At 46.2% G+C, this 25039-nt stretch overlaps 1 non-coding gene and 3 pseudogenes across 1 annotated transcript, besides 1 other annotated feature; all 4 read right to left on the bottom strand.

Annotated features, from left to right (window-relative positions):
• Positions 2369-2587: a silencer, noted in NCBI's record as "fragment chr5:170806505-170806723 (GRCh37/hg19 assembly coordinates)". NCBI's record gives its function as "represses an EF-1alpha promoter that drives an FKBP-Casp9 reporter gene in an ReSE screen in K562 erythroleukemia cells {active_cell/tissue: K562}" and the evidence as "EXISTENCE:reporter gene assay evidence [ECO:0000049][PMID:32094911]".
• Positions 14395-16493, bottom strand: RPSAP71 (ribosomal protein SA pseudogene 71; annotated as a pseudogene).
• On the bottom strand, positions 15413-15781 carry RPL10P8 (ribosomal protein L10 pseudogene 8; annotated as a pseudogene).
• Positions 15836-15970, bottom strand: SNORA70J (small nucleolar RNA, H/ACA box 70J). The gene has a single exon (NR_145720.1). It is a non-coding gene; the product is annotated as a small nucleolar RNA, H/ACA box 70J (small nucleolar RNA).
• Positions 22676-22971, bottom strand: RN7SL339P (RNA, 7SL, cytoplasmic 339, pseudogene; annotated as a pseudogene).

Below are 25039 nucleotides of genomic sequence, written 5' to 3'. Positions count from 1 at the left end.
TGACAGAGCGAGACTCCGTCTCAAAAAATAAAAATTAAAAAAAAAAATAGGTCAGGCTCAGTGGCTCGTGCCTGTAATCCCAGCACTTTGGGAGGCCGAGGCGGGTGGATCACCTGAGGAGTTCGAGACCAGCCTGGCCAACAATGGTGAACTCCATCTCTACTAAAAATACAAAATTAGCTGGGTGTGGTGGCAGACGCCTGTAGTCCCAGCTACTCAGGAGGCTGAGATAGGAGAATCGTTTGAACCCAGGAGGCGAAAACTGCAGTGAGCCGAGATTCGCACCACTGTGCTCCAGCCTGGGCCAGACAGAGTGAGACTCTATCTCAAAAAAAAAAAAAATTAGCTGGGCATGGTGGCAGGCCGCTACTTGGGAGGTTGAGGCATGAGAATCACTTGAACCCAGGAGGCAGAGGTTGCAGTGAGCCAAGATTGCACCACTGCACTCCAGCCTGGGAACGGAGCGAGACTCTGTCTCAAACAAACAAACAAAAAAGACATTATATAAGACACAGATGCCCAGACGCGGTGGCTCACCCCTGTAATCCCAGCACTTTGGGAGGCCGAGGCGGGCAGATCACCTGAGGTCTGGAGTTCGAGACCAGCCTGACCAACATGGAGAAACCCTGTATCTACTAAAAATACAAAATTAGCCAGGCATAGTGGTACATGCCTGTAACTCCAGCTACTTGGGAGGCTGAGTCAGGAGAATTGCTTGAACCTGGGAGGCAGAGGTTTCGGTGAGCCGAGATTGCGCCATTGCACTCCAGCCTGGGCAACAAGAGCAAAACTCCGTCTCAAAAAAAAAAAAAAAAAAAAGACACAGATGGGAGGAAGGGAGTGATGAAGAGAGGTTGATTAATGAGTACAAATATATTTTGATACAAGAAGTAAGACCACTTACTGTTCAATAGATCAGTAGGATGATTATAGTTATCATTAATTGATGGTGCATTCCAAATTAGCTAGAAAAAATAATTTGAATATTCCAACATAAAGAAAAGATAAATATTTCAGGTGATGGATATTCCAATTACCCTGATTTGATTATATGAATGTATCAAATTATCACATGTACCGTCCAAAATATGTACATCAAATTTGTATCAACAAAAAATAAATGAATAAATAAATAGGACACAGATGAACCACCAGATGAAGTACGTGGGGGGAGGTCTGAAAGGGTAGGTCATCAACATAGGAGCTTCTGTCTTCATGGAGATGAAGTGTGCCACTCTCCTGGCCATGGAGGCTTTTACTCAGCTCATCAAGTCTTTTTTTTTTTTTTTTTTTTTTTTTTAGTTTTTTTGCTTGTTTTTGTGAGACGGAGTCTCACTCTGTCGCCCAGGCTGGAGTGCAATGGCACGATCTCCGCTTACTGCAACCTGCACCTCCCAGGTTCAAGCGATTCTCCTGCCTCAGCCTCCAGAGTAGCTGGGATTACAGGCACCCACTACCACGCCCAGCTAATTTTTGTACTTTTAGTAGAGACGGGGTTTCACCATGTTGGTCAGACTGGTCTTGAACTCCTGACCTCAAGCATTCCACCTGCCTCGGCCTCCCAAAGTGCTGGGATTACAGGCATGAGCCACCGTGCCCGGCTTTTTTTTTTTTTCTTTGAGATGGAGTCTCACTCTGTTGCCCAGGCTGGAGTGCAGTGGTGCAATCTCGGCTCACTGCAACCTCTGCCTCCGGGGTTCAAGCGATTCTCCTGCCTCAGCCTCCCAAGTAGCAGGGATTGCAGAGGTGCACCACCACGACGAGCTAATTTTTGTATTTTTATTAGAGACGGGATTTCACCATGTTGGCCAGGCTGGTCTCTAACTCTTGACCTCAGGTGATCCTCCCACCTTAACCTCCCATAGTGCTGGAATTACAGGTGTGAGCTGGGATTACAGGTGTGAGCCACCGCACCGGGCCCATCAAGTGTTGTTCAACAGGTTTTATGAGGCTTTGGCCAGGAGCGGTGGCTCATGCCTGTAACCCGAACACTTTGAGAGGCTCATGTAGGAGGATCACTTGAGCACAGGAGTTCAAGACCAGCCTGGGCATATACTGAGACCCCCATCTCTACAAAAAACCCCTTTATTTTAATTTAAAAAAAAATTTTTTTTTTTTTGAGATGGAGTCTTGCTCTGTTGCCCAAACTGGAATGCAATGGCGCGATCTCAGCTCACTGCAACTTCTGCCTCCCGGGTTCAAGCAATTCTTCCTCAGCCTCCTTAGTAGCTGGGATGACAGGCAGGCACCACTACGCCTGGGTAATTTTTGTATTTTTAATAGAGACAAAGTTTCACCATGTTGGCTAGGCTGGTCTCAAACTCCTGACCTCAAGTGATCCACCCACCTCATCCTCCCAACTTGCTGGGATTACAGGCGTGAGTCACTGTACTGGGTCCCTAAAATTTTTATTAATTTAAAAACATGGCCGGGCGTGGTGGCTCATGCCTGCAATCCCAGCACTTTGGGAGGCTGAGGCGGGCGAATCACCTGAGTTCAGGAGTTCAAGACCGGCCTGCATAACATGGTGAAACCCTGTCTCTACAAAAACACAAAAATTAGCTGGGTATGATGGCGGATACCTGTAATTCCAGCTACTCGGAAGGTTGAAGCAGGAGAATCGCTTGAACCCAGGAAGCAGAGGTTGCAGTGAGCCGAGATCACGCCATTGCACTCCAACCTGGGCAACAGAGCAAGGCTGTCTCAAAACAACAACAACAAGAAATAAAAATAAGAGTTTTTATAAGGCCTAGTCTCCAACCTCACCCACCTCTTCCCAGACGTCAGTCAGTGGAGCTGAAAGTTACAATCCTCTAATCACTTGGTCTTTCTGGTGGCCAGCCCTATCCTGAGGCTATCTAGGGGCCCCACCCTGACCCACCTCATTATTGTAAACTCAAGTGTGGTCAAAAGGGGCTTGGCGGGCAAGGTGGCTCACACCTGTAGTCCCAGCACTTTGAGCTCAGGAGTTAGAGGCCAGCCTAAGGCTGAGGTGGGAGAATCGCTTGAACCCAGGAAGTGGAGGTTGCAGTGAGCCGAGATGGCACCACTGCACTCCAGCCTGGGCAACAGAGCTAGACTCTGTCTCAAAAGAAAAAAAAAAAAGAGACGGAGCACAGTGGCTCACACCTGTAGTCCCAGCACTTTGGGAGACTGAGGTGAATGGATCGTCTGAGGTCAGGAGTTCGAGATCAGCCTGGCCAACATGGTGAGACCCCGTCTCTACTAAAAATACAAAAAATTAGCCAGGTGTGGTGGCATGCCCCTGTAGTCCCAGCTACTCAGGAGGCTGAGGCAGGAGAATCACTTGAACCCAGGAGGCGGAGGTTGCAGTGAGCTGAGATCATGCCACTACACTCCAGCCTGGGTGACAGAGCGAGACTCCATCTCAAAACAAAACAAAACAAAATGCGCATCAGTGAGAGACTGGATAAAGAAAACGTGGCATATACATACCATGGAATACTGTGTAGCCATAAAAAAGGATGAGTTCATGTCCTTTGCAGGGACATGGATGAAGCTGGAAACCATCCTTCTCAGCAAACTAACACAGGAGCAGAAAACCAAACACTGCATGTTCTCACTTATAAGTGGGAGTTGAACAGTGAGAACACATGGACACAGGGAGGGGAACATCACACACTGGGGCCTGTCGGCGGGTGGGGGGCTAGGGGAGGGATAGCATTAGGAGAAATACCTAATGTAGATGGCTGGTTGATGGGTGCAGCAAACCACCATGGCATGTGTATACCTATGTAACAAACCTGCCCGTTCTGCACATGTATCCCAGAACTTAAAGTATAATAATAATAAAAAAAGATAGCTAACACCACTTGTTTCCCAAAAACCTATTGAAATAAAAAATTAAAATAAAATAATTCACAAAAAAGGCTCATTGTGAATTTCAAAATGCACTCCTATCACTCAGAAAATTACAAGGGTTTTAGGAATTTCTCGTGACAGGGTGACAGGAACTGGCACACAGACCAAATATATTTCATATTATACCATATCACCACAAATAAATAATAAGTATGTGAGGTAATGAATTTGTTAATGGTTAGTAACCATTCTACAATGTATGAATATTTTATTTATTTATTTATTTATTATTTTTTTGAGACGGAATCTCGCTGTGTCACCCAGGCTGGAGTGCAGTGGCACGATCTCGGCTCACTGCAAGCTCCGCCTCCCAGGTTCATGCCATTCTCCTACCTCAGCCTCCGGAGTAGCTGGGACTACAGGCGCCCACCACCATGTCCGGCTAATTTTTTATATTTTTAGTAGAGACGGTGTTTCACTGTGTTAGCCAGGATGGTCTTGATCTCCTGACCTCATGATCCGCCCGCCTCAGCCTTCCAAAGTGCTGGGATTACAGGCGTGAGCCACCGCGCCCGGCCTGTATGCATATTTTAAAACATCCTGTTGTACAGTATAAATATATATATATATATGCGTTAATTTGTCAATTTAAAAATAAACAGGAAAAATTAATATTTTCCCCCTAAAAAGCTTCTATGTATATTTGTGGACAATGTTTATATGTAAGCATCTGCTTTGATTTTTCTTGAATAAACATGTAGTGGTGAAAAAGTGGTTCATCTGGAACATCTATGTTAAGATCTTTTCTTTTTTTTTTTCTTTTTTTTTGAGACAAGATCTCTCTCTGTTGCCCAGGCTGGAGTGCTATGGCGTGATCTCTGCTCACTGCAGCCTTGACTTCCCGGGTTTAAGCAAATCCTCCCACCTCAGTCTCCTGAGTAGCCAGGACTACAGGCAGTTGCCACCGCATGCTGCCGATTTTTTGTATTTTTAGTAAAGACAGGGTTTCACTATGTTGCCCAGGCTGGTCTCCAACTCCTGAGCTGAAGCAACCCTACCACCTTGGCCTCCCAAAGTGCTGGGATTATAGGCACCAGCTACCGTGCCTGCCCATATTAAACTCTTTAAGAAATTGCAGAGCCAGGGCCAGGTGTGGTGGCGTGGTGGTGCACACCTGTAAATGCAGCTACTCAGGAGGCTGAGGCTCAAGAATCGCTTGAACCTGTGAGGCAACATAGCAAATCCTGGTCTTTACTAAAAATACAAAAAAAATTAGCCGGGTGTGGTGGCGCATGCCTGTGGTCCCAGCTACTCAGGAGGTTGAGGTGAGAGGATTGTCTGAGCTCTTGCCTGAGCCTGGGAGGTCGAGGCTGCGTGAGCTGAGTTCGCACCAGTGCACTCCCGCCTGGACAACAGAGTGAGACTGTCTCAAAAAAAAAAAAAAAAAAGAAGAGGAAGAAGAAGAAAAAGTAAAGAAATGGCCAACCTGTTTTCCAAAGTTATTGAAGTTACTGTACCATTTTACAGTAAATTGCCATGTGTGATTGTTTTAGTTCCTACACATCCTCATCCTCACTAATACAATTTCATTTCAGATGATCTATTATGTGTGCAGAGGCATCTTATTGAGGTTTTAATTTGCATTTCCCTAATGACTAATGATGGTCAATGTATTTTCATGTGCTTATTTGCTATTCACATATCATCTTTGGTGAAATGTCTGTTTAAATCTTTTGCCTCCTTTTGTTAAATATTTTTTTTTTTTTTTTGAGACAGAGTCTTGCTTTGTCGCCCAGGCTGGAGTGCAGTGGCACGATCTCAGCTCACTGCAACCTCTGCCTCCTGAGTTCAAACGATTCTCCTGCCTCAGTCTCCCGAATAGCTGAGATTACAGGCACGCGCCACCATGCCCATCTAATTTTTATATTTTTTTCTATTTTTAGTAGAGATAGAGTCTTACCATGTTGGTCAGGCTGGTCTCGAACTCCTGACCTCAAGTGATCAATGCCTTTGGCTCAGCCACTCGAGTAGCTGGGGTTACAGGTGCCTGCCGCTGCACCTGGCTAATTTTTGTATTTTTAGTAGAGACAGGGTTTCACCCTGTTGGCCGGGCTGGTCTTGAACTCCTGACCTCAGGTGATCTGCCCTCCTGGATCTCCAAAAGTGCTGGAATTACAGGTGTGAGCCACCACACCTGGCCCTTCATCCCCCATCATTTTTTTTTTTAAGAGACGAGGTCTCACTATGTTGCTCAGGTTGGTCTGGAACTCCCGGCCTGAAGTAATCCTCTCATCTCAGCTTCCTGAGTAGCTGGGCTTAGAGGCTTGAGCCATCTTGCCAGGTTTTTATGCCCATTTTTTAAAGTTGGGTTATTGGTTTCTCATTATTGAGTTTTGGGAGGTTTATATATTCCGGATACAAGTTCTTTATCATCTAGGTGATTTGCAAATATTTTCTCCCAGCCTGTGAATTATCTTTTCATTTCCTTAACAGTGTCTTTTGAAGAGTAGAAGATTTTAATTTTGATGAAATCTCATTTATCAGGTTCTTTCTCATATGGAGCATGCTTTTGATGTAGTGTCTAAAATATCTCGAAATATCTTTCCCTAACCAAAGGACAAAAAATATCCTCTGTTTTGTTTGTTTGTTTGTTTTGAGACAGGGTCTCACGGTCATCGAGGCTGGAGTGTGATCACAGCTCACTGCAGCCTCAAACTCCTGGGCTCAAGTGATCATCCCATCTCAGCATCCCCAGTAGCTAGGACTACAGGTGTGTGCTAGACCACACCTGGCTAATTTTTGTATGTGTTATTGAGACAGGGTTTCTCCATGTTCGCCAGACTGGTCTCCAACTCCTGGGCTCAAGCAATCCTCCTGCCTTGGATTCCCAAAGTGCTGGGATTACAGGCTTGAGCCACCACACTTGGCCTCTCATTTTTTTTTTTTTTTAGAAGTTTTCTTTCTTTCTTTCTTTCTTTTTTCTTTTTCAGACAGAGTTTTGCTCTTGTTGCCCAGACTGGAGTGCAATTGCACCATTTCGGCTCACTGCAACCTCCGCCTCCCGGGTTCAAGTGATTCTCCTGCCTCAGCCTCCCGAGTAGCCGGGATTACAGGCATGCGCCACCACGCCTGGCTAATTTTTTATTTTTAGTAGAGATGGGATTTCTCCATGTTGGTCAGGCTGGTCTCGAACCCTTGACCTCAGGTGATCCGCCTCCTCAGCCTCCCAAAGTGCTGGGATTACAGGCGTGAGCCACCGCGCCTGACAGAAGTTTTTTTCTTTTAGTAGTTTAAAGATGTTGCCCCAATGTCTTCTGGCTTGCTTTATTTTTTTCTTCTAACAAGAAGTCAGCTGTCATTTTTATATTTTTTCCTCTCTATGCAATGTCTTATTCTCTGATTACTTTTAAGATTTTCTCTTTATTCCTGATTTTAAGCAATCTGATTATAATAGGTAGTATATATATTATACAGTAAAATATAATATAGTTTCATGTTTCTTTCGTCTGCGGTTCTTTGATTTTCTTGGATCTGTGGACATATGGTTTCCATTAAATATACAACATTTGAAGCCATTATTTTTTAAAATATTAAAATATTTTCCTGTTCCCTCTTTTACCTCCTCTCCTAAGAGATTCCAGCTCCACATACATTAGGATATTTGATTTGTCCCATAGCTCACTGATACTCTATTTTTTTTCAGTCTTTTTTTCCTCAATGTTTCACTTTTGATAACTACTTTTTTTTTTTTTCCGAGACGGAATCTCGCTCTGTCGCCCAGGCTGGAGTGCAGTGGCGCGATCTCGGCTCACTGCAAGCTCCGCCTCCCGGGTTCACGCCATTCTCCTGCCGCAGCCTCCCCAGTAGCTGGGACTACAGGCACCCGCCACCACGCCCAGCTAATTTTTTGTATTTTTAGTAGAGACGGAGTTTCACCGTGTTAGCCAGGATGGTCTCGATCTACTGACCTCGTAATCCGCCCCCCTCGGCCTCCCAAGTGCTGTGATTACAGGCGTGAGCCACCGCGCCCGGCTCATTTTTGGTAACTTCTATTACTATATCCCTATTGTTCATGAATCTTCTTTTGTTTATTATGTAATTTGCTGTTAATCCCATTCAGTGTATTTCTCATTATCTTTTTTTTTTTTTTTTTTTTTTTTGAGATGGAGTCTCCCTTCGTCGCCCAGGCTGGAGTGCAGTGGCGCGATCTCGGCTCACTGCAAGCTCCGCCTCCCGGGTTCATGCCATTCTCCTGCCTCAGCCTCCCAAGTAACTGGGACTACAGGAGCCCGCCACCACGCCCTGCTAATTTTTTGTATTTTTAGTAGAGACGGGGTTTCACCCTGTGAGCCAGGATGGTCTCGATCTCCTGACCTCGTGATCCACCCACCTCGGCCTCCCAAAGTGCTGGGATTACAGGCATGAGCCACCGCACCCGGACTCTCATTATCTTAAACATACTGTTTATCTCTGAAAGTTCCTTTTTTTGAGACAGAGTCTCACTCTGTTGCCCAGGCTGGAGTGCAGTGGCACGATCACCGCTCATTGTAACCTCCACCTCCTGGGTTCAAGCAATTCTCCCGCCTAGCCTCCCAAGTAGCTGGGACTACAGGCATGCGCCACCCACGCCAGGCTATATCCCTAAAAGTTCTATTTGACTTTTTTTTATTTTTTTTTACATCATTCATGTTTTCCTTTAATGCCTATGTTTTTTTCTACCTTCTTGACCATATGTAATGTAATATCTGTTTATTGTCTTTTTCTGCTAATTTTATCATTTGCGTTCTTTCTTTCCTTTTTTTTTTTTTTTATTTTTTTTTGAGACAGAGTCTTACTCTGTTGCCCAGGCTGGAGTGCAGTGGTGCGATCTCAGCTCACTGCAACCTCCACCTCCTGGGTTCAAGCAATTCTCCTGTCTCAGCTTCCCAAGTAGCTGGGACTACAGGTGCGCACCACTACACCCAGCTAATTTTTTATATTTTTAGTAGACACAGGGTTTCACCATATTGGCCAGGCTGGTCTTGAACTCCTGACCTCGTGATCCAACTGCCTTGGCCTCCCAAAGTGCTGGGATTACAGGCAAGAGCCACCGCGCCCAGCCATCATTTGTGTTATAATTTGTGTTATATCTGAGTGTGTGTGTGTGTGTTTTACCAGAAACCGATGTTTACTATATGAGAAAATAGATATCAAAAAGTAGCACCAAAAGGAAGCATTCTGAAACGAATACTGTGGAGGTAACTGGAAATTCGCATGGAAAACCGACACAACAATTCAGATAGATTAAGAAAACATGAATACACACACACACACACACACACACACAGAGAGAGAGAGAGAGAGAGAGAGGGAGGGAGGGAGAGAGAGAGAATAAGCCAAAGAAAAAGTAGTTGAAAACTAAAGACAACATTTATCCCAAATGTAGAGGATACTTACTAAGGACTGAAGATATTACATAAAAGTAGAAGTTCAGGCCGGGCATGGTGGCTCACGCCTGTAATCCCAGCACTTTAGGAGACCGAGGTGGGCTGATCACATGAGGTCGGGAGTTCGAGACCAGCCTGACCCACATGGAGAAACCCCGTCTCTACTAAAAATATAAAAATTAGCCCGGCGTGGTGGCACATGCCTGTAATCCCAGCTACTCAGGAGGCCGAGACAGGAGAATCGCTTGAACCCAGGAGGCGGAGGTTGCAGTGAGCCAAGATCGTGCCATTGCACTCCAACCTGGGCAACAAGAGGGAAACTGTCTCAAAAAAAAAAAAAAAAAAAAAAGTAAAAGTTCAACAACTTTGAGTAGTTGGAAAGTTAAAATTTTGGACAATACAAAATAACAGCCCACAGCAGCTGATGCCTGTAATCCCAAAACTTTGGGAAGCCAAGTTGGGAGGACTGCCTGGGCTCAGGAGTTCAAGACCAACCTGGGCAACATAGCGAGACCCTGTCTCTACAAAAAATAAAAAAATAGGCTGGGCCCAGTGGCTCATGCCTGTAATCCCAGCACTTAGGGAGGCCGAGGTGGGTGAATCACTTGAGGTCAGGGGTTTGAGACCAGGCTGGCCAACATGGCAAAACCCTGTCTCTGCTAAAACAAAAACAAAAACAAAAACAAAAAACCCCACAAAAATTAGGCATGGTAGCAGGCACCTGTAATCCCAGCTGTTCAGGAGGCTGAAGCAGGAGATTCGCTTGAACCCGGGAGGCAGAGTTTGCAATGCCATTGCACTCCAGCCTGGTCAACAGAGTGAGACTCTCTCTCTCAAAAAAAATAAAAATAAAAATAAAAACAAATAAAATTATCCAGGTGTAGTGGCGCCAGCGGTAGTCCTAGCTATTAGGGACCCTGAGCCAGGAGAATCCCTTAAGGCCAAGATTTAGAGGATGCAGTGAGACATGATGGCACCACTGTACTCCAGCCTGGGCGACAGAGAAAAACCCCAACTCAATAATATAACAACAACAGTGGGAAATACTGGACTAGGGACAATGCCACCAACACAAGAAGCCAAGACCACTAGTGTTCACAATACATCCTCTGCTTCGTTTCACACACGTGGGCAGGGTGCATGTGCCATGAGACGATGTAGGCAGTATTCGGACATGCCGAGTGATCAACCTTGCCAGGAAACAGACGCACACAAAAACAGAGAGGTGCCAACACAAGCCGAATCTATGCGGCTGAGGCTGCAGTAACAGGAGCAGCAAGCAGTGCTGCACTAAACCCACACCTGAACACCCAGGGCCCACAAGGTCTGGACAGGCGCAGTGGGGGCTGTGGTGCTGCCGGCTCAGGGGCTGGTGGTCCAGGAGCCCTCTTCAGGACCCGGAAGCACCTTCCCTGGATCATCAACTCCAGTCTGGGTTCGGGAGATGGCACCTCTGCCGAGCACAGATCCCAGGGGAATTCTGGTCATGGTGAGAACAATCCACTCATCCTTGGATTGCTGAATTTGCAGCTGGAGTTTGAGGAGGAAAACAGGAGAAAGCAAACCTCAACGAGGTTCTGGAAGGTGCAGGCTGACGCACTTTCTGTCTCTTTTGATTGACTGATTTTTATCCTCCTTGTGGGTCATATTTTCCTTCTTTGCGACCAGGTAAGTTTTGATCGGATGCCAGGATGCCAGGTATTGTGAGTTTTACCTTGATGAGTGCTGAATATTTTTTTTTGGGGACGGTATCGCCCTCTATTGCCCAGACTGGAGCACAGTGGCATAGTCTCGGCTCACTGCAACCTCCACCTCCCAGGTTCAAGCGATTCTTCTGCCTCAAGCTCCTGAGTAGTGGGGACTACAGGCACGTGCCACCACGTCTGGCTAATTTTTGTATTTTTAGTAGAGATGGAGTTTCTCCCTGTTGGCCAGGCTGGTCTCAAACTCCTGACCTCAAGTGATCCGCCTACCTCAGCCTCCCAAAGTGCTGGGATTATAGGCGTGAGCCACCGTGCCCGGCCAAATGCTGAATATTCTTGTATTTAAAAAAAATACTGTCTAGCATGGTGGTTCACTCCTGTAATCTCAGCACTTTGGGAGGCCAAGGCAGGGGGATAGCATGAGCCCAGAAGTTCAAGACCAGACTGGGCAATATAGTGAGACCCTGTCTCTACTAAAATTAAAAAAAAAAAAAAATAGCTAGGTGGGGTGGCATGCACCTGGAGTTCTAGCTACCCAGCTACTTGGAGGCTCAGGTAGGAGGATCTCTTGAGTCCAGGAGGTCAAGGCTGCAGTAAGCCGAGATCAAGCCACTGTACTCCAGCCTGGGTGACAGAGCGAGACTCTGTCTTTAAAAAATAAATTAAAAATACTATTGAGTTGGCCAGGTGCAGTGGCTCATGCCTGTAATCCCAGCACTTTGGGAGGCCACGGCAGGTGGATCACCTGAGGTCAGGAGTTCGAGACCAGCCTGACCAACATGGTGAAATACTGTCTCTACCAAAAAATGCAAAAATTAGCCGAGCATATGGTGCATACCTGTAATCTCAGCTACTGGGGCGGCTGAGCCAGGAGAATGGCTTGAACCCAGGAGGCGGAGGTTGCAGTGAGCTGCGATCATGCCACCACACTCCAGCCTGGGTGACAGAGCAAGACTCCATCTCAAAAAATAATAATACTATTGAGTTTTGTTTTGGCACACAGTTAAGATTCTCAGAATGAGTTTGATTCATTGTGAATCTTGCTTTTCGGTTTCATTAGGTGGAATTAAAGCAGCCTGTTATCTAGAGCCAGTTTTCTCACCATTTCTGAGGCAAAAACTCTTGACTACTCTACTGGATGCCCTGGGCAGGATGAGGTTTTCCCACTCTGCCTGAATACCAATGATCCACAGCCCTGTCTGTGTGAGGTCTAGGGATGGTTCTTTTGAGGGGGTTCTTTCTCCAGCTTCAGGTGGTTTCTTTTCTTTTCTTTTCTTTTCTTTTTTTGAGACGGAATTTTTACTCTTGTTGCCCAGGCTGGAGTGCAATGGCTTGATCTCAACTCATCGCAACCTCCGCCTCCCAGGTTCAAGCGATTCTCCTGCCTCAGCGTCCCAAGTAACTGAGATTACAGGTGCCCGCCACCACCCCTGGCTAATTTTTTTGTATTTTTAGTAGAGACAGGGTTTTACCATGTTGGTCAGGCTGGTCTCGAACTCCTGACCTCAGGTAATCCACCCACCTCAGCCTCCCAAAGTGCTGGGATTACAGGCCTGAGCCACCGCGCCCGGCTTCAAGTGGTTTCTGTCACGCGCGTCTGTGTGAAGAGACCACCAAACAGGCTTTGGGTGAGCAATAAAGCTTTTTAATCACCTGGGCGCAGGCAGGCTGAGTTTGAAAAGAGAGTCAGCAAAGGGTGGTGGGATTATCATTAGTTCTTATAGGTTTGGGATAGGCAGTGGAGTTAGGAGAAATTTTTTTGTGGGCAGGGGGCGGATCTTACAAAGTCCATTCTCAAGGGTGGGAAGAATATTACAAAGTACCTTCTTAAGGGCGGGGAATATCACAAAGTACATGATCGCAGGGGCGGGGAGCGTGTATTGTCATAAGGTCAACTGATCAGTGAGGGTGGGGCAGGAACAAAGCACAATGGTGGAAAGGCAAGACCTGGCTGTTTTCACTTCTTTTGTGGATCTTCAGTTGCTTCGGGCCATCTAGATGTATACCTGCAGGTCACAGGGGATGTGATGGCTTAGCTTGGGCTCAGAGGCCTGACAGTCTCTATACAAGCCTTTGCTGATTCATCTTCAGTTGAAGACATGAAGGGAGCCTTCTGCAGCTCTCTGGGTCTCTCTGTGTATAACTCTCTCCTCCCCAGTACTCTGCCCTGCAAACGCTAGCCACCTGGGCCTCCCCAAACTCCCAACGCTACCTCAACTCAGGGAGACGACCAGACTCCACACATCCCGCCTCCCTTTGCTGTGGCCTGGAAACGCTCCTAGAACTCAGCTAGGCAATCATCTGTTTCCTCTCTCAAGCGTGATTGCCCTGTGCTGACTATGTGATGTCTGAAAAGGCTTATTTCATATATTTTGTCAAGTTTTTAGTTGTTTAAAATGGAAGTGTAAATCCAATCGCTGTTATCCATCTTAGTCAAACACATTAGTTTAAGACTGCCGTTTTTTTGTTTTTGTTTTTGAGACTCAGTCTCACTCTGTCGCCCAGGACAGTGATGCAATGTCGGCTCACTGCAACCTCCGCCTCCTGGGTTCAAAGGATTCTCCTGCCTCAGCCTCTTAAGTAGCTGGGATTACAGGCGCCCGCCACCACGCCCGGCTAATTTTCGTTGTGTGTTTTTGTTTTTGTTTTTATTTTTGTTGTTTTGTTTTTTTGTTTTAGTAGAGGCGGGGTTTCACCATGTTGGCCAGGCTGGTTTCGAACTCTTGACCTCAGATGATCTGCTCCCCCCACCTCCCAAAGTGCTGGGATTACAGATGTGAGTCACTGTGCCCAGTAAGACTGTTGCTTTTTAACCTAAGTTTTGAAGTTGCAGTTTCTTCTACAATTTCCCAGTGGGGAATCATAGCGTTGCATGAATACTATGTTCTGGGCACTGTGAAAAGCTAGGTTCCAGCTTTTGGGCGCCATCACGCCCAGCTAGTTTTTTGTATTTTTAGTAGAGACAGAGTTTCACCGTGTTGGTCGGGCTGGTTTCAAACTCCTGACCTCAAGTGATCCACCCACCTGGTGAGATCTGCCTGCCTCTGTTGTTATTTTTAGAAACTAAAGTTTATTTTCCATCAATCTTATTTTCATGTTGCTTAAGAGCCTGTGGGGCTGGGTGCAGTGGCTCATGCCTGTAATCCCAGCACTCTGGGAAGCCGAGGCGGGCGGATCACCTTAGGTCAGGAGTTCAAGACCAGTCTGGCCAACATGGTGAAACCCCGTCTCTACTAAAGATGTGGAAAAATTAGCCAGGCGTGGTGACACGCGTCTGTAATCCCAGCTACTTGGGAGGCCGAGACATGAGAATCACTTGAACCTGGGAGGCAGAGGTCTCAGTGAGCCAAGATTGCACCATTGCACTTCAGTGTGGGTGACAAAGCAAGACTTCATCTCAAAAAAAAAAAAAAAAAAAAAGGCTTGTGGAAGAACAGCTTAAGACCACACATTGGTTGTTCCTACCCGTTTAGTGGCCTGAGCAATGAGAGCTGAAGGTCAGTCTTCCATGGCAGGCTGAGTGTTCCACATCTTCAATAGAGAACTGCTGGATAGACACTGGGTACCTGCATGCCTCCGACCAGTCTGCAACCTCAGGCTAACTAGCAGTGAACTCAGGAGCTGGAGCAGTCCATTCACCCGGAAATCTGAAATTCCTCTGTGGTCTGTGGTCATAGCTTTTTCAGCAGTAGCCTGTTCTTTTTTTTTTTTTTTTTTTTCTTTTCTGTTTTTTTTTTTTTTTTTTTTTGAGACGGAGTCTCGTTCTGTCACCCAGGCTGGAGTGTGGAGTGCAGTGGTGTGATCTTGGCTCACTGCAACCTCTGCCTCCCGGGTTCAAGTGATTCTCCTGCCTCAACCTCCTGAGTAGCTAGGACTACAGGCATGTGCCACCACGCCGGGCTAATTTTTTGTATTGTTAATAGAGACGGGGTTTCATTGCGTTAGCCAGGATGGTCTCAATTTACTGACCTCGTGATCTGCTTGCCTTGGCCTCCTCAAGTGCTGGGATTACAGGCATGAGCTTTTCCATCTCTTCGGGATCTCTGTAGAAGCAGAGATCAGGCATGATCTCTAATGGGTGTTCACAGGAGACAGTGCCAGGCATGTGCAGAACTTCCTGAGCCAGCATTCCCCACATCAGACCCCCGAGTGAGCTCCCTTGTTGCATGGGATGGAAATATCCACACAGCGCAGAGGAGAACCTGTGTTCCACAGAGGTATGGTAGGTAGGTTATCATGAGATGCTGCTGTGAGAGGCCAGTGGCCACCCTGGGATCAGTATCTACCAACAGACGCAGCTCCCAGAAGGCTGCCTGGACCTGGTTAATGAAGGTTCCAGGGGTGAAGTGGCCAGCAATAGGAGTGGCTCCTGTGGCAGCAGCAAAGCTCAGCTCAGCCCGCTGGCCAGGATTCCGGGAGGACATGAGACTGACATCAGAAGGGTTTTAATTTTTTTTTTTTTGGACAGGAAGTAGAATGTATTGGTGAATATTAAGAGGGCGGCAGCACAGTGGAAGCCCTCGTGAGTGCAGGGCCCGCCACTTGTCCAGAAGGCCACGACTGGGGATGTACTTTACCCCACAGCCATCTAGGATGAGCCGCTTCTCAGCCACCATGTCCTCAAATTCATTGGCATTGAACTTGATGAAGCCCCACTTCTTTGAGATGTGGATCTTCTGGCGGCCAGGAAACTTGAACTTGGCCCTGTGCAGGGCTTCTATCACATGCTCCTTGTTCTGCAGCTTGGTACAGATGGACATGATAACTTGGCCAATGTGAACCCTGGCCACAGTGCCCTGGGGCTTTCCAAAGGCACCTCGCATGCCTGTCCGGAGCCTACACTGGGGTAATGCAAAGTCAGAAACATGAACATCCATCTGAAAAGCCTGTCTCCAAGGTCCCGTAGAGCAACCCGTACAATAAACAGGCTGCATATACTACCAAGGAAGCTGCTGTTTGCAGCGATTGCACACTGGGCCCCCATGAGGAAAGGAACTCAGTCGGCTTAATTGGCTGCAGAATCAGAAGGGTTTTCAATGGCAACAATGGTACAAGCTGCCAACAGAATTAGATTCTTCAGATTTAGGATGTAAATGCCGTCACTTTTCTTTTTTGTTTGTTTGTTTTTTTTTGTTTGAGACAGAGTTTTGCTCTTGTTGCCCAGGCTGGAGTGCAATGGCGCGGTCTTGGCTCACTGCAACCTCTGCCTCCTGAGTTCAAGTGATTCTCCTGCCTCAGCCTCCCAAGTAGCTGGGATTACAGGCATGCGCCACCATGCCCAGCTAATTTTGTATTTTTAGTAAAGACAGGGTTTCTCCATGTTGGTCAGGGTGGTCTCGAACTCCCAAGCTCAGGTGATCCACCTGCCTCGATCTCCCAAAGTGCTGGGATTACAGGCGTGAGCCACCACGCCCAACACTTTTCCTTTGTAGATATACTGTTCCAACTGGAACCAGGTTGGTGCCACCTAAGTGGGTTCCTGCTGCAAGAAACTAGAGGATATTCCCCTCCTTCATTTGCAGGACATCGAGGCTCTGGACATTGTGGAAATTTCCCTTTAAGTTAAGATGAGAATCCAGAACGGCGTCGTATGGCCCCCTCTATGGGTAGCATGGAGAACCTACAGAATGTTAAATGGGGTCTTACTGATTATCTCCGGCTCCCAGTTCAGTCTCCAGTCTGAGGAAAATAGCTGACATGTCTCCCTCTTTCTAAAGTGTACCAATCAAGCAGAACCTACTAGAAGTTGCTAACCCATCCTATGGCATATAGTTCATTATGTATCTCCAGACTATAGAGAAGAGCAACCAGGAGAGTCATTGAGGAGACTGATCAGAGGATACAGAGGATTTCTTTGAAAGGAGTTACTGGCCTAGAGGTCAGGGCTATTCCTACCCTGGACCTGAAGTCAAGTCAGAAGTCTCCATTAGCCGCAGTGCTGCCCTGTACTGGAGCAAAAGATGCTGAGAGAGATCTGGAAAAATGTGACCTGTGTCTCCTGGAGTTAAGGGAGTGCAGAGTCCACTTCCCAACTCTTTTTCTTTTTTCTTTTTTGAGAAGAAGTCTCGCTGTGTTGCCCAGGTTGGAGCGCAGTGTCACGATCTCGGCTCACCTGCAACCTCTGCCTCCCGGGTTCTGGCAATTCTCCTGCCTCAGCCTCCCAAGTAGCTGGGACTACAGGTGCCCGTCACCATGCCCGGCTAATTTTTGTTTTTTTAGTAGAGACAGGGTTTCACCATGTTGGCCAGGCTGGTCTTGAACTCCTGGCCTCAAGTGATCCACGCACCTCGGCCTCCCAGAGTGCTGAGATTACAGGCGTGAGCCACCACGCCTGGTCAATGCTTCCCAACTCTTGCCTGGAAAAGTCTGAAGTCCAGAGGCTGGCTAGAGCTACCTGTACTGGCAAAGAAAAGAGAGGACTGTGGTGAGCTTGACTGCACTTCCAGAATTTGGCATATCCAGAAGTAACCAGCTTAGAGAATTCTTAAAAGGACCTTACCAAGAGAAATTTACCTACTTGGTGAGGCAACACTAGGCTACAAAGGCTGATTATTTCCCCCCCAGATTTATTTATTTATTTATTTATTTATTTATTTATTATTTTATTTTGTAGAGACAGGATCTCCCTATGTTGCCCAGGCTGGTCTTAAACTTCTGGCCTCAAAATGATCCTTTCTGCCTCATCCTCTCAAAATGCTGGGATTACAGGTTTGAACCACTGTATTCGGCCTCCAGATTTACATACGTTGCAAAAATAGTACCAGAAGAAATTCCTTATACTTTTTGTCCAGATTCCTCAAATATTAACATTTTACATAGCCATAATACATATATAAAAGCCAGGAAATTAACACTGATACAGCACTATTATCTGATCTATAGACCTAATTCAAATTTTACGAACTGTCCCACTGATCTTCTTTTTCTGGTTCAGGATTCAGTGCAGTATCTCCTCACACATTAAGTTGCATGTCTCCTTAATCTTCTGTAATCTGGAACTGTTCCTCAGTCCTTTGTCTTCCATGACCCTGACACTTGTAAAGATAACTGGCCACTTATCTTGTACAATAGCCCGCATCTGGGGTTTGGCTGAGGTTTCCTCGTGGCTAATTTCAGTTCTTCATTTTTGTTGTGAATATCAGAGAAGGCATGCAATGTCCTGTGTGTATCATGTCAGGAGGCACATGATATTTTTCCCATTTCTGGGGATGTTCACTTTGATCACTTGATAGGGTGATGTCTAGAGGTTTCTCCACTACAAAGTTACTCTTTTCCCTTTGTAATTAATAAGTATTTTGTGGGAAGATCTTTAAGACCAAGTAACTATCCCATTTTCTATATTATTTTACCTACTCATCCTAGCTTCTGTTGAAGTGTTTTTACCTAAAAAAGTGATTAGCATAGTATTTGCCAAACAATGCTTTTCAATGTCTATTTGCTAGTTGAAATTCTACTGTAAGGAAGAGCTTTTCCATCTTATCTCTGTATTTATTTATGTCAGGATGGATTCATGATTCTTACTTTATTCTATGTGTCGTAATGTATTACTCTTAGTATTTACTTTCTTTTTCCTTTCTCTCTCTGTCCTTTTTTTTCTTTTGAGACAGGGTCTTGCTCTGTTGCCCAGGCTCAAGTGCAGTGGCACAATCATGGCTCACTGCAGCCTTGACCTCCCAGGCTCAAGCAATCCTCCCACCTCAGCCTCCAGAGTAGCTGGGACTACAGGTGCGTACCACCACACCGGGCTAATTTTTAAATTTTTTGTAGAGCTAGGGTGTCACTGTGTTGCCCAGGCTGGTATTGAACCATGGGTTCAAGAGATCCTTCCACCTTGGCCTCCCAAGGTGCCAGGATTACAGATGTGAGTCACCAGGCCCAGCCTGTTCTCTTGCTTAAACTGTTTAAGGTTTGGCCATTGGAACCCCTTCAAATGGGCTCCTGTGTCCTTTTGACACAACCCATCATTTTGTGTGTGTGCAGTTCCTATTTTCTGTTGCACATTAATTTTGTACTTTCCCTGCCCTAGCACTGAAATCAGCCATTTCTTCACGGAGATGTAATTCCTTTCATTGGCTAATGGTATTTAGAAATCCAGACCCGGGTGCTAGTTGTGTTCATTGGTTGTAGGATGCACAAACACACACACACAACACACACACACTAGTTGATACCTACAATTGCAAACCAAAATAATAGGTTTCATGCAGCCTTTCCCATTTCTTATTTTAACTGCTTTCTCTGACAAAGAGAAATTTAGCTTTCATTGTCCATAATACATTTATTTTCTCCAATACATGTAAATTAGTTTCAGAGATGCTAATATATATAGCCATGAGAAAAATTACTAAGTATAATACTTATGCTCAATTTATTTATTTTTTTTGGCCTTATAGGACATAGCCAAAAATGCTCTTTTCCAGAGTTACTTAGGGTAGTTATTTTCTTCCTCCATCTCCAGTGTGGTTTGGTATTCATTTTTGCTACAGCTAATTTTTTGTTTTTTTGTTTTTTTTTTTTGAGATGTAGTCTCGCTCTGTTGCCCAGACTGGACTACAGTGGCAAGATCTCGGCTCACTGCAACCTCCGCCTCCCAGATTCAAGCAATTCTCCTGTCTCAGCCTCCCGAGTAGCTGGGGTTACAGGCGCACACCACCATGCCCAGCTAATTTTTTGTATTTTAGTAGAGACAGGGTTTCACCTTGTTGCCCAGGCTGGTCTCGAACTCCTGAGCTCAGGCATTCCACCCGCCTTGGCCTCCCAAAGTGCTAGGATTACAGGCATGAGCCACTGAGCCTGGCCAGTTTATTGTTTTTGTTTGTATTCCATTTGGGGCCCTATCCCATCTTTGCTGATTACATTTTCATTCATTTTTAAGTATGTGAAATATTTACATGGTTTTAAAAGTCAGAAATATACAAAAAGGATGGCTCAGAGTGATATCACTTCCCCTATCCTTTCTACCCTATTCCTGTCTACTGCCTATAAATTACCAATCTCATTTGTTTCTTTTTTTTTTTTTGAGACGGACTCTTGCTCTGTCACCCAGGCTGGAGTGCAGTGGAGCACTCTCGGCTCACTGCAGCCTCCGCCTCCCAGGTTCAAGCGATTCTTGTGCCTCAGCCTCCTGAGTAGCTGGGATTACAGGCGCACACCACCACGACCAGCTAATTTTTGTATTTTTAAGATACAGCCATGTTGGCCAGGCTGGTCTCGAACTCCTGACCTCAGGTGATCTACCCGCTTGGGCCTCCCGAAGTGCTGGGATTACAGGCATGAGCGACTGCAGCCGGCCCAATTATTACAGGAAAGGAGTCCCGATCTAGACCCCAGTAGAGGGTTCTTGGATCGTGCGCCAGGAAAAATTCAGGGAGAGTCCGCGGTGCAAAGTGAAGGCAAATTATTAAGAAAGTAAAGGAATAAGAGAATGGCTACTCCATAGACAGGGGAGCCCCGAGGACTGCAGGTTCCCCATTTTTATGGTTATTTCTTGATGATATGCTAAACAAGGAGTGGATTATTCATGCCTCCCCTGTTTAGACCATATAGGGTAATTTCCTGATGGTGCCATGGCATCTGTAAACTGTCATGAGGCTGGTGGGAGTGTAGCAGTGGGGACGACCAGAGGTCACTCTCGTGGCCTTCTTGGTTTTGGTGGGTTTTAGCCGGCTCCTTCACTGCAACCTGTTTTATCAGCAAGGTCTTTATGACCCGTATTTTGTGCTGACCTCCTATCTCATCCTGTGACTTAAAATGCCTTAACCGCCTGGGAATGCAGCCCAGTAGGTTTCAGCCTCATTTTACCCAGCCCCCATTCAAGATGGAGTTGTTCTGGGTCACACGCCTCTGACACAATCTCATGTTTCTGGATTATTCTTCTTGTTTTCTTTTTTGTACAGTTGAGCTGCAGAGATGAGATTAGGGTAAGATGTGTAAGGAACTCACCTTGGGCACAAAACTGGGGCGGGGTGGGGGTGTCAAAAAATCAGTAGCCAGGATAAATAATATTTTAGTGCAATGTTTTAAAAATCAAAATGAATGCAAAAAAATCCATGATAACAAAATATCAAAAATTTGAATAAATTTCGGTGCTGTGCTGAGCCCTATCGGAACCAGAAGCGAAAGGAAAAGTCGTGCACCTCCCTGTACCTGTTTTTAAGTAGCTTTTTTTTTTCTAGGTGAATCTCATCTTAATTGCAAAACACTTCAGTTACAGCACATTCAACAATGAACCAACAGGAAAGTTGCTGACTTTTGACATGTGAATATATAAAAATCTCCTGCAATTCAGGTAGTCAAGATAATAAGCGCATACAAGGAAAGCAATTCTCGTTTTTCTGAAAATGGTTCTACATTTTATTTTATTTAATTTATTTATTTTGAGACAGAGTCTCGCCCTGTCACCCAGGCTGGAGTGCAATGACACAATCTCAGCTCACTGCAACCTCCGCTTCCTGGGTTCAAGTGATTCTCCTGCCTCAGCCTCCTGAGTAGCTGAGAATACAGGTGCCCACCACCACGCCCAGCTAATTTTTGTATTGTTAGGAAAGACAGAGATTCACCACGTTGGCTAGGCTGGTCTCAAACTCTGGACCTTGTGATCTGCCCGCCTTGGCCTCCCAAAGTGCTAGAATTACAGGCATGAGCCACCGCGCCTGGCCTATTTTATTTATTTATTTATTTGAGATGGAGTCTTGCTCTGTTGCCCAGGCTAGAGTGCAATGGCGGGATCTTGGCTCACTACAACCCCTGCCTCCTGGATTCAAGTGATTCTCCTGCCTCAGCCTCCCGAGTAGCTGGGATTACAGGTGCCCGCTGTCATGCCTGGCTAATTTTTGTATTTTTGTAGAGATGGGGTTTCACCATGTTAGCCAGGCTGGTCTTGATCTCCTGACCTCAGGTGATCTGCCCACCTCGGTCTCCCAAAATGCTGGGATTACAGGCGTGAGCCTCCACGCCCAGCCTGTTCTACATTTTAAAAGGTGACTAGGCATACTTGGAAGTTCAAAGCAGCAGGATGTACCTTGCCGGAAAAGAAGGAGAAAACCCTTTGTCACGTTGTTAGACAAATATATATCAAATATATTCCAATGCCACTGGATAGAGTAAGTTGGATGACTTCTTTGAACTAGGCTAGGGCAGAACGTTGAGTGAAAGGGGGTCCTGGGTGGGGACGCGAATCCAGGAGAAAAGGAGCACCAGATCCTATGCAACGCCAAACACATCAGCTCCACCCTCTGACACAGACGAGGCATACCGCCCCATGTCCCCAGACACGGGATGCATGAAAACAGTCATCCGATAGTTACTGTTCTCAGTGCCTGGTGTTTTCTAGTGGTCTTCATTCAGGCCATGGAGAAAACCTTTTACCACCAAATGCAAACTGTCATTGAACTTAGGGTCATAAAGGATGTTACAGGGAAATTCTTGTAACGATACATAAGGACTCCTATTTACCTAATTAGAGCAATGATTACACAATTGACATTTCTGTTTTCATAAGGGTTTGTTCTCTACACTCCAGTGGTTTAAGAAAAACATTGTCAGCCAGGCGTAGTGGCTGACGCCCGTAATCCCAGCACTTTGGGAGGCCGAAGCGGGTGGATCACCTGAGGTCAGGAGTTCAAGACCATCCTGGCCAACATGGTGAAACCCCGTCTCTACTAAAAATACAAAAATTAGCTGGGCATGGTGGTGGGCGCCTATAATCCCAGCTGCTTGGAAGGTTGGGGCAGGATAATCGTTTGAACCCGGGAGGCAGAGTTTTCGGTGAGCCAAGATCGTGCCATTGCATTCCAGCCTGGGCAACAAGAATGAAACTCAGTCTCAAAAAAAAAAAAAATTGTCTGATTTTGATTTTATTTTACTTTTTTTTTGAGATGGAGTTTCGCTCTTGTTGCCCAAGCTGGAGTGCAATGGTACAATCTTGGCTCACTGCAACCTCTGCCTCCCAGATTCAAGTGATTCTCCTGCCTCAGCCTCCCGAGTAGCTGGGATTACAGGCATGTGCCATCATGCCCGGCTAATTTTGTATTTTTACTAGAGATGGGGTTTCTCCATGTTGGTCAGGCTGGTCTTGAACTCCTGACCTCAGGTGATCAGCCCGCCTCGGCCTCCCAAAGTGCTGGGATTATAGATGTAAGCCACCGCTCCTGGCCCTTTTTTTTTTTTTTTTCTGAGATGGAGCCTTGCTCTGTCACCCAGGCTGGAGTGCAGTGGTGTGATCTTGGCTCACTGCAACTTCCGCATCCTGGGTTCAAGTAATTATCCTGCCCCAGCTTCCCAAGTAGCTGGGAGTATAGATGTGCAACACCATGCCTGGCTAATTTTTATTTTTATTTTTTGTATTTTTAGAAGATACAGGGTTTCACCATGTTGGCCAGGCTGGTCTCAAACCCCTGACCCCGGGTGATCTGCCCGCCTCAGCCTCCCAAAGTGCTGGGATTACAGGTGTGAGCCACCATGCCTGTCCTTCCTTCCTTATTCAAATCTCTTCTTTTCTATACCTTAAAGTAGCTTTTGATGCCTAGTTTTCCCCCAGAATGTTAAAGCAGTTGAGGGAAAAATATAAAAGTCAATGGATTAAAACTCACATCATTTTAAATGCAAATATTTTATTTATACAAAAAATAGCCCCATCTATGGCGTAGCCCATCTCTGAACCAGCCCATGATTCTTCCTCTGTCATCTGGGCATAGGGAAGCTCCCATGAGGCCATAGGTATAAGCTGAGAGAGAAGGATTAGTGCAATGGAGGCAGGTGACATGGGTCTGGGCCCACCCATTCATATAACTTACTTGTGCCCTTTGGGCCTGTCTGAGCCCAATCCTGGGCGTACTGCTTCCACTGTACAGTAGAATGAGGCTGTGCCCACCTAACCTTAGGATTTAGTGGGTCTGACAGTCACTTGATTCCAGCAGTCAGATGCTCGGTCTCTACCAGGACACAGTAGCACTCCAAAAACCCATTTTCTTAAGTGGTTCTCTATTGCAGATAGAATGCCCTTGCTCCAAAACTCTGTTTAGGGGTTTGACAGAAACTTCACATGGTGTGTTTATCACCAATAACCTTATCATGATGGGATCTGTTGGGCCATATGGCCCAGATGGCAGGCCCAGTTATGCTGCAGCCTGGAGCTGCTGCAGAGCCCTTTCTGGCCCTGCCCACTACTCAGACCTGGCATTCTTTCAAGTCACCTGATATCTGATATATGGGTCAGAACAATATTTCTGAGAGCAGAACATCCAAAACTCAAGAGGCTTTTATCAAGCCTTGTGCGTCTTTCTTAGTGTGGGAGTTGCCAGATGCAATAATGCACTTGACCTATCTTCCCACATCCCGCACTGGTACCTGAACAGTTCGCTAGCTTCGCTGGTTTCTGAACCTTTGCAGGGTTTAATTTCTTGCCCTCTGGAGCACATATATCTTGCCAGAGCATCTAAATACTTGCCATTTCCTTGTTGGCTGCCCACTTTCTTGTCCCTAGGAACACCAGGGCCTATTTGTCATTATAAGCGATCCCTGGGAGTCAAGTCTCCCAGTGGCCATTCCAGCCTTGCTGCCCATTAGAGTCATTCCACCACCTTGCCTTTGGTAGTTAAGAACTGCCATCTAGCCCCACAGAACAGCCAATACTGAGCTTCTCGGTGATGCCAATGGCTCCCTCACTAACTCATTTCATATCACTTAATAAAAGCGAGAATCTCTCGGCCCTCCTTTGCCTGCTCATCTGGTAGGTTCTCAGGTCTTACACAATGAGTGTTTTGGCCACTTCCTCAACACTGTGCCCTGACACCTTTCTAGCACGCCCCACCTTTATTTATGTGCACCATCAGTTTTTCCAAGCTTCCAGGAGCCACCACAACTGGGGCTGGTACCAGGAACCCTCAGTAGGGTGCTGAATCCTGAGCCATGGAAGGATCCTTCATATCAACAAGCTCTTCCTTACTGCGTCTTATATTCTCCCTTCATCCCTTAGTATCCATTCCCAGTGGGTACTTTTTTCCCTGTTCTGGGCCCTGCAGCTCTACCATTTTCTTCCCTAGCAGGTCCTATACTTCCTCAGCTAGGCCACGCTGTGACTTGACTTTG

This window comes from Homo sapiens, chromosome 5, assembly GCF_000001405.40.
Source record: "Homo sapiens chromosome 5, GRCh38.p14 Primary Assembly".
Lineage (NCBI taxonomy): Eukaryota > Metazoa > Chordata > Mammalia > Primates > Hominidae > Homo > Homo sapiens.
This window is presented reverse-complemented; position numbering and strand designations above follow the sequence as displayed.